This window comes from Homo sapiens, chromosome 11 (genome assembly GCF_000001405.40).
Source record: "Homo sapiens chromosome 11, GRCh38.p14 Primary Assembly".
Lineage (NCBI taxonomy): Eukaryota > Metazoa > Chordata > Mammalia > Primates > Hominidae > Homo > Homo sapiens.
In genome coordinates this window covers 131,089,191-131,098,457 of record NC_000011.10, presented here as the reverse complement: position 1 = coordinate 131,098,457, position 9,267 = coordinate 131,089,191, and the positions used below count along the sequence as shown (strand labels likewise).

General features: G+C 45.5%; 1 annotated feature.

Moving 5' to 3' along the window:
- Positions 1,600-2,100: an enhancer, noted in NCBI's record as "H3K4me1 hESC enhancer chr11:130966253-130966753 (GRCh37/hg19 assembly coordinates)". NCBI's record gives its function as "activates a minimal SCP1, AML or CMV promoter by ChIP-STARR-seq in naive H9 embryonic stem cells {active_cell/tissue: H9 hESC(naive)}" and the evidence as "EXISTENCE:reporter gene assay evidence [ECO:0000049][PMID:30033119]".

Sequence of the window (9,267 nt, the reverse complement as noted above, 5' to 3'; positions counted from 1 at the left end):
AAGCACCTGAGTGAGACGCTCGGCCCTGAGTACTGTCAGAGACAAGACACAGGTCTAAATGATCCATGGCTGGGTTCCGGTCTGGCAGTTCCCATCTAACCTGCAAGTGCCAGGTAATTGGATTGGTAATGGGATATGGAGACTTTCACCTTGAAGTCACTGCCTCACTTCCAGCCCAAGGGATGGCTGCAGCTGAAAGTCATTGCTCTTGGGGAGCAGTTCTGCAATCTTTGGGAAGTATTTGAATGCCAGTTTCAGTCCAGTCTGAGGAGACAGCCTGCAAGGCTGTTTTCTACACTATCTTGCACCCTTGATCCCCTAGACGGTAAGTGCAAGTCCTTGGCTTAAGGCTTCCCAGAGCCTCAGGGGAAGATTGGAGCCTGATTTATCCCATGAGTTACAGCTTTTCCTGGGTAGTGATCTGAAACAGTGATCAAGATGTCACTGTTCCAGTGGGCAGTTGGGCTGTGACTTCACCTTCCCTGCTTGACTTTTCTTATATAATAACCAATAGGTAGAAACTCATCCTACCTATTGTTTAGGCCTGGTCACAACCAGTGGGGGACAGACCATGGCTCTGGAGTCTGAAAGTATGAGCTTGAATCCTGAACTGGGCTGTTTCTGATTATAATCCTACACCAATGAGTTAACTTTCTGCATTTTCCCTTCCTCATCTGTAACTGGGGATAGCACTGTTGTGAAGGTTAGAGATGGCCTATCCACACCATTTAGCACATGCTTCACACGCAGTAGGCGCTCAAGACATGGCAGCAGATGAGCAATAGGGATCCTCTTCCCAGGAGCTACACAGGGGTATATTTGTGGCTCTACCAGAGAGGTCCATTTATCTGTCGCTCATCAATTATTATTAAGGACCAACTCAGCACTGGGCACAGTGGTGGATCCTATTGAATAGCTAGTACACTAAGAGTAAAGGATGGGAGACACAGAACTAATGGGAGGGCTACCACTTCAGGAAACACAGAGGCTATCAAATGCCCTAGATCCATAAAAGCCACAGGCAAAAGGGCCTCCACGCGGAACAAGAAAGCTCACTGCGGTGAGGGACTGTCTTACTCTTGTTGGTCTGCCCCCATCCCCGGGGCCTATTAATGGACTTTGTATGTAGTAGGTACTCAAAATGTATTTGATCAGTTTAACTAAGTGAAAAGAGGCCAACAGAAAGTTGGTGGTCTCACCAGCTTCCTGCACCACCAGAGTGAATTTACAGGGACCTGTGTCTGTGATCTCTCTCACCCCAGGACTGCAACCCATTCTGCAGGATTCTGCAGCCAGGCTGGGGCTGACACACAGTGGCGTGTGGCTGCAGAGCTGACAACAGTGGCCTGATTTTGGACATGTGACTGCACTGCAGGCTGCTGAGCAGGAGGCTGAGGGAGGAGGCTCCTGATTGTATAAGCCAGGCCATCCAGGGACATGGCTGAGGCAAGGAGGAGAGTTGCATGGATGGGGCTCCAAGCATCTCCAGGTGCCCCTCCCCACATCTCTAGGAGATGTGAGGCTAGAAGAAAGGCTAGGGCATTTCAAAGGCCAGCCTCAGGTGGAAAGCAGGGCATACATTTGTCCTGTTCTGAGAGACCCTAAAGGGGCACACAGACGTGCCACTCATCTGAACCTCAGCTGGGCAGCAAGCTCAGTGCCCAAGTCCAAGGGGACAAGGTCAGAAGCCAGAAAGGGAAGGGCACTTAGAGCCAGCAGGATGTCTCACCCCACCCCACCAGCCAGTCTCCCGAAGAAAGAGCTTCACTCACCTTGCCTTCTCCCCTCAGAAGAGATGTGCTTCCAGGCTCCTGCCTCTGCCACTGTGGAGGCATGGTCAGATTATTATGTCTCTGAGCCCCTTCTTCTTCAGCACTTAAGAACAATAACTCTGTCCCTTCTTGTCCTTGCTTGTCCCACAGGAATGTTAAGAAAATAAAACCAGCTGCTCACTGGGAAGGAGCTCTGGAAGTGAAAGCGCTAGTGCCCAAGCATAGTTGGCTCCCTGAGCTGCCGGGCTCCAGGCCCCTAGGGTCTGGTGGAGGAAGGACCCATGACCCCTTTCAGCTGTTCAGCACAGCGAAAACCAGCCGGTCAGCACCAACTGCAGACACCTCATGGCCTGTGGCGGGGAGTTGCTGCCACCAGACACAGCCATGAGCCAAACTGAGATGTAGGGAAATGCTGTTTTTGCCCAGCCTTTGTCCCAAGGTCCATGACTCCCTTTCATTCGGACCTCTAGGGCTTCTTCCAGACTGACTGGGCTACCTAGCCACCAAATATCTGCCTTTGAAAAGGCCACCTGGAGAGGACATGATAATTTAACCCAAAGCACGTAGCCCCTATAAACAATGGAACTTTTGGCGAGGAACACCTGGGCGAGGATACTGTCTGGAAGGAAGTTCTTCTAGTTGCCTTGGAATAATGAGAGCTCCTAGAGCAGTTGCTAGGCTCCCATCCACACTCATAGCTGTGCTCGTCTCCCCTCCCGCATCCCTCGTGCATCTGTGATTTGTTTCCTCCTACCAACTTCAGATGTGCTGCTGCCTCTAGGTGCTTTCCAAGCTCAGACTTCACAGAGGTAAAAGTGAGCACGAGGAAGGAGAGTGAGGAGGGATGCAGGTGCAACAGGGGAAGGAGGACAGCTGCTTCCTAATGATGCGTTTTGGAATCAGCAAGGAGACTGTTTAATGCTATTGTTTTTGTGCATATTAAACCACTGATCCACATCCTGTTTTGGCGACACGGGCTACCTCACATCTGAATGCCTTACCTACAACCTGTAAAGCTAATTCGTTAAACAGCTTTCTTCTCCCAGGGGAATGAGGTCATTGGTCACAGAAGATTGATTAAGCTCTTGGAGAATCAACATTAATGAAAATCAACACTGCCTAATGAGTGTTTTTATGGCAGCCTCATAAAAAAGATTTTTAAAAGGAGAAACAAATAAACAAAAACAGCAAGAAAAGCCAGAAGCCTTCTCTCTCGATGTCTCTCAATGCTTGTGGTAAATTTTGTATCAGGACAGTGGTAGACATTCCCTCAGCTGGGCCAGCCTTCCTACCCTCCCTCAGCCCCACGCACTAGCATCAGGTCTGAAAAGTTTGCATACGGGTGTGTGCACATCGTTCCAAAGACAGTTCCCTTTGTTCATACCCAACGTTGTGTGGAGAAGAAAATAGATTTTTGGTCAGAATACCTGCTTTAACACCGTTTACTATATGACTCTGAGTAGGGACTTTGACCTCTGACTGTCCACACATCTCTAAAATGGGAACACTAGTTGTCCCATATCTTCCTTATTAACCTTGTTGCACAGGAATCACATAAGTCAGTGTGTGTGAGACATTTTCAGCCATAAAGCCCTGGGGAAATAGAAGCCGCTGGTGGTTGTTAAGGCACTATTGGGTGGCTTTTCAGGCCAGACACTGGAGTCAAGCAGGCTGGGTCTGAATGCAGGCTTAAGGGCCTGGCTTAGCAGTTTACCAGCTGTGTGACCTCAGGCAAGTGATTTAATTTTCCATAACCCACATTTTATCCATGAAATAGAATAATTATAGCATTGCAATGTTAGAGTTTGGGGGAGATTAAATGGGGAAATGGATATGAAGTGCTTAGGGCAGTGCTGGGCACTTTGTGAGCAGTTAGGAGAAATGGGCCCTGATTAGAGCTGTGTTCCTCACCACCCAACTCCTTCTCTTTCCACAGTGAATGGCGAGAACCAAAGCACTGCCCCAGCCACCAACCAGAATAGGCCCAGACCAAATGGCCGATCCGTGGGCCCACACAGAAGCCAAATGGAGATACACTTGGCAACTCCAGCTCCCCCATGCCTGTGGGACCCTGGGCTTGAGAGCAGGGGGAAAGACTGGCAAGAAATTGAAGGAGTTGACCAGGCATGGAGTGGGGAAGAATTTGCAATGCTCTGCTGTAAAAGAGAGACACCTGAGAAGTCTCAAAAGCACTCTAACTTGAGGGTGTGGTTTAAGGAAAAGGGCAGCTAGCTATTCTCACTGCAGGGCCTTAACAACAAAGGGGGCTTAGATCAAAAAGGGAATGATTTAAGTAAAGACCTAAGAGGTGGAGGGGAACAAAGGAAGGAAGGAAGGAAGGCATTGAGGAAAGAAGAGACGCAGGGGGAGAAGGAAAGGAAAGAAGGAAGGGAAGGAAGGAAGGAGGGAAGGAAGGAAGGGAAGGAAGGGAAGGAAGGAAGGAGGGAACTGAGGAAGGAAGAGAGGCAGGGGGAGAAGTAAAGGAAAGAAGGAAGGGAAGGGAAGCAAGGAAGGAAGGAAGGAAAAAGAAAGAAAAGGAAGAAGAGGGAAAGTGGAAAGATGGAAGGAAGGGAAGGGAAGCAAGGAAGGAAGGAAGGAAAAAGAAAAAGAAGAAGAGGGAAAGTAGAAAGATGGAAGGAAGGAAAGAAAGAAAGAGAAAGAAAGTATTTCAGAAGGAACTTTACCCATGCCCCCCTTCATGTTTTTGTTAAATAAATATATAAAGAAAATGAATCAGTTAAAAAAAAATCTGTTCTTTCCTATTTTTTCCATTTTGTCTTTCCAGTTCTTCATGTCTCTAATTTTACCTAAATGATAATTTTATGAGCAAATCAAGTTATACATAATACATTTTATGTTTCTTCTTAGCAAAATGATTTTAGATATGTAAATTGCACTACAAAAATAAATATTGCATGATATTCTAATTTTTCACCAAATTTACATTCTCCTTCCCCCCCAGTTCCCCAACTCTCTATCTCTAATGGTTTTAACATTTTGAAGACCTTGACATTTATAAATTTAGCTTACATCTAAGAGAGAAGTGTCTTCATATGGGGTTAGGTAGTGTTCTCTGTTAATTGGCAAGGCTCTAAAATCTTGTTGGCAAATATTGTTATTTCATCTTTGGACCAGCGATTGGAAAGGTGGATACAATTGTATGGAATAGAGTAAGATGGAGTCTGACGGTCCCTTTACATTTTTGTGGCAAGATTTTTGAAACATCTCTAGCATATATAAACATCTTCTTCAAGCTCAAGTGTGTTTGAAATTCCACCAAGACACAGTCTCCATTTCCTGAGGTATATCCCTGGTTAGATGGGTGTGTGAATTCTCCCCAGGCCTCAGAGGCAGAGAGGCATGGCAGGCACTCTTTTCCTGGCCCTATTTCTAGAAGTTCTCTACGGTTCATGCTGGCTTCAAACCCTGCAGGGCCATTGACCACCCCCGCACCACACACACACACACACACACACACACACACACACACACACCAGATTGAGCTCTAATTCATCTTCTGGAAGTGCTGAGTATGAAGAACTAATAGTTAAATTATATAGTGATGTGCTGACCAATATGGTATCCACTAGCCGTATGCATCTATTCACATTAATAAAACTAAATAAAATTGAAATTTCAGTACCTCAGTTGCATTGGCCACATCTCAAATGCTACTTAGCCACTTGGGTCTAAGTAGCTTCCATGCCAGACAGCATGTATATAAAATATTTCCAACATTGTGGACTTCTATTGGAGGAAAATTGAGGAGAATGAGGAAACTAGCTACTAAGCGCTTGCTATGGAGGAGGATCTCTGTACTTTGGCAGCTCATTAAATTACCTGATAGTCTATGCAATAAGTGAAATCATCTTCACCTCCCAGATAGAGAATTGGAGACTCAGAAAAGTTAATCTACTCAGAGTCCCATAGTAGCAAACCCGATGAATCTACAACTGTCCAATCTTGAAACTCTGCTGCAGGTCTCGGGGTGGGACCAGGGTGAGTAAGATGGAAGTGTACAGCAGATGTGTGTGGGTGTGTAGTGGGAGATAATGAAGAAATGGGCCAGAAATGAAAATAACTAACTTTAATAGAAGCAGCAGACTCCTCCCCATCACTACAAACCTCCCGGAGGAGAAGCAGTGGCTGCCCTCTGCATGGATGTGTCAGTCTCATTTTATATGGCAGCAAGCACTCAGTAGCCATCAAGACTGCATTGCCACGTACTGGAGAGTAAGTGCAGTACTGGAATCATCTAATCTCATTGGCTGATGGCATACTCTACATGCTCCATGGGCTCAGCCCTCTGTTACTGATACTCAAGATAACTTCTCCACAGTAAGAAAATAATAGCAACCTCACCTACCATAGCCCAGGCTGCTGTTAGAGACTCAAGAGTATAGGCTCATTCATTGTGAGGTTTCGCTCTGAAAGTAGCTACACAACAGCGTCAATGTGACCATTTCCAGAGAACTTTGGCAGCCAGAGTTCCCCGGAGAAGACCCTCGTATCCACTTTGAGTTGTGGAAAGACACTTCATGTTTCTCTGTCCAGTAGCTATGGTGTGAGAAAATCTGAGAGATCTGTGAATAACAGTAACAATTGTTCTGGGGCCTCTGCGTTGAAAACAGCTTGCAGGAGGGGGCTGCCTCAGTGGAGAAGATGCACAGAGCTTCCCTCATGCACTCACAGTGGGCATGGTTGGGGCCCAAGGCTGCTTGGCTTAGGAATAGAGGAAATGATCCATGCAAAGGAGGCACATGAAATGTAGCGTTGGAGTGGGTGGAGTGAAAAGATCCTGCTGGGTCACACCTGGGCTCTACTTCAGAAGGAACACAGCCTATGATCAGGGTCAGAGGAGATGGGCATGGTTGTGAATGGATGATGGTTTGTCTCTTCTGCAAGATCCCAAGCTCCCTAACAGAAGGAGCTGCATGTTAGTCACCCTTTCTAGTCTCACCCCTATTCCTAGAACATGGAAGGCACTTGGTGAATACTCTGATCATTACAACAAAATCAGGGTTCCTTATGTCTTAGTCAGGGTTCTCCAGAGAAAGAACCAATAGGATATATAGAGATCTATAGGAGGAGGTTTATTATGGAAATTGGCTCATGTGGTTATGAGGTTGAGAAGTCCCACAATATGCCATCTGCAAGCTGGGGAGCCACAAAAGCTGGTAGTGTGATTCATCCTGAATCCAAAGGCCTGACAACAGAGATCTGGGGAGAATTGGTATAAATCTTGGAATCTGAAAGCCAGAGAACAAGGAGCTCTGGTGTCCAAGGGTAGGAGAAAATTAATGTCCCAATTTAAGAAAGGAGAGATAATTCATGCTTCTACCTTTTTGTTCTACTTGATCCCTCAACAGATTGGATGGTGCCTGCCCACATTGGTGGGGGTGGATCTTCCTTACCCAGTCCACTGATGGAATGCTAATCTCTTCCAGGGACACCCTCACAAACACACCCAGAAATCATGCTTTATCAGCTATCTGGGCATCCCTTAGCCCAGTCAAGCTGGCACCTAATGTTAACCATCACAGTTCACTTCATAGAAAGCTAGTTTTGAAAGAGGCTAATGGATATTGTTAAAAGAAGAAGATGGAAATAAAGAAAAAGAAAATCTTCCATAGTCAACTTAGTTTGGAAAGTATCAGATTAACAAGGTTCAACAGGGCAATTTACTGTAGGATTTCTCTGAGCCTTTTAAATGATAATGAGAGGAATATAGAAAGCAGCATTTCCTAAGCTTAATTGACCATGGAATTCTTTTTCCACAGAGCTTCTTGTGGGACTATTGTTCTGTGGAAGCACTGAGCAGGACCTCTAACTTCAGCTCAGTATTGCAGTCATTAGATAAAGCAGGTATGCCACTTTGAGGTTGGTTGGCTAATCAATGAATTGTACCACCACATAAAACATCACTGAAAGCACATCATCCCTGGATTTATTTATTCATCTATGCAACTAACGGGCGCCTCATCCTTATCAATGTCGGTCCCAGGAACATAGATTTCTACTTTTTTATTTCCATACCAATGATACCATAATTATCAGTCAAATTTATTACCACATCAACATTGAATTAATTTATCTATTAATATTTTTAGCACCTACTACAGGCAAAGTGTTATTTTATATAACCTGGGAACATATAATTCTGTTAAAGTTGAAAAGATTATCCCAGCTCTCCAGGAATCTGCAAGCTAATTGGGGAAATTAGAAATATACATTTTCCCCTTGGGGTGTCTGTTCCCTGCTGCTACTCATGCCTCTACCTTAAGATGCCTTCCTTCTGGTCGATTTACTCAATTATCTTTCTCAAAATGTCTTCATTTTCACAATCTCAACTGGAGATAGCTCTGTGTTTTTGGGCCTGTGTACAGTATGTATTATTCATGTGCTCACTTGTTTCTGAACAACTTATGAAAACCAACTGGAGATTAATTCATAAAAAATAAGCTTTCTCCCCCCTCTCCCTTTACAGGACCAGATCTGTTTCTCTGCCACAATCGTATTGGCTGATTGGGTTTCTGCTCTTCCTCTGCCCCTGTTCTGTAGGAAAATCATGTCTCTTTAGTATTGCTGCCACACAGCCTTTCATGTGCTTCAAATGTATACCATTGTGTTCTGACTTTTGTTTTGTGCAGAATCTCTTTTATGCTCTATCTTCTGTAAGGTCCCCTGTCTTGGCAGCTGGGAGATTTTCATTGTACTTTGCACATTGCAAGTTTTTTGTTCTGCAAGGTGGCCTTTTGTAGTCAAGTTTGCTAATGTTTCTAATGGAAAACAGGCACAGCCATACTTCATCAGTCTTATTCTGCTCTGAGGCGCAGTTGCCAAGCCCAATAAGGGGACCAAGATCCTCCCTGCTCACAAAGGAGAAGGTGGGCTCAACTCAGCAGCAAAAAGGATCCATGTGTTCCTTGCTGAAGGTGAGAGAAGCAGATTGAGGGAAGCAGTTTGATCACTGGAGACTTTGACCCCTAGTTTCAGACACCATAATCCTTTTACTACGTGAAAATATGCCTGTTACTCTTCTTCCTGAGAAACATCCCTCAGCTTCTTCATCCATCTCCTGCTCTTGGCCAGCCATCGTGGGGTCACTCCCTCTCTGGCTCCCAGTAGAGCTTGGGGATAGAGTATAGAGACAATGAGTTTCCTTCTCTACCTTGCTTCCTACATTTCATTCTCAGTTATGGACACAAGCACAACCTCAGCTTCACCATTGTCATGGATCATTTTTCTGCACCTTGTGTCCCACATATAACTGAAACTTGGGACTCCAAAAATATCTGTTGAATGAATGACTGCACTACTGCCCTTAACTCTGGACCTCCCAGCCCAGGCTTTGGGAGAAGCCGTCAGGTGTCCCTGCTGCCTCCCATCCCATCTTCCTGGAATCCCTGCTCTGTGCCTCTTGCTGGTTTATTTCTTCAGTCAACTGGAAGGGCAGGGATGATGGTGTGGATCTGTGGTCTGTGAGGTGAAGGGT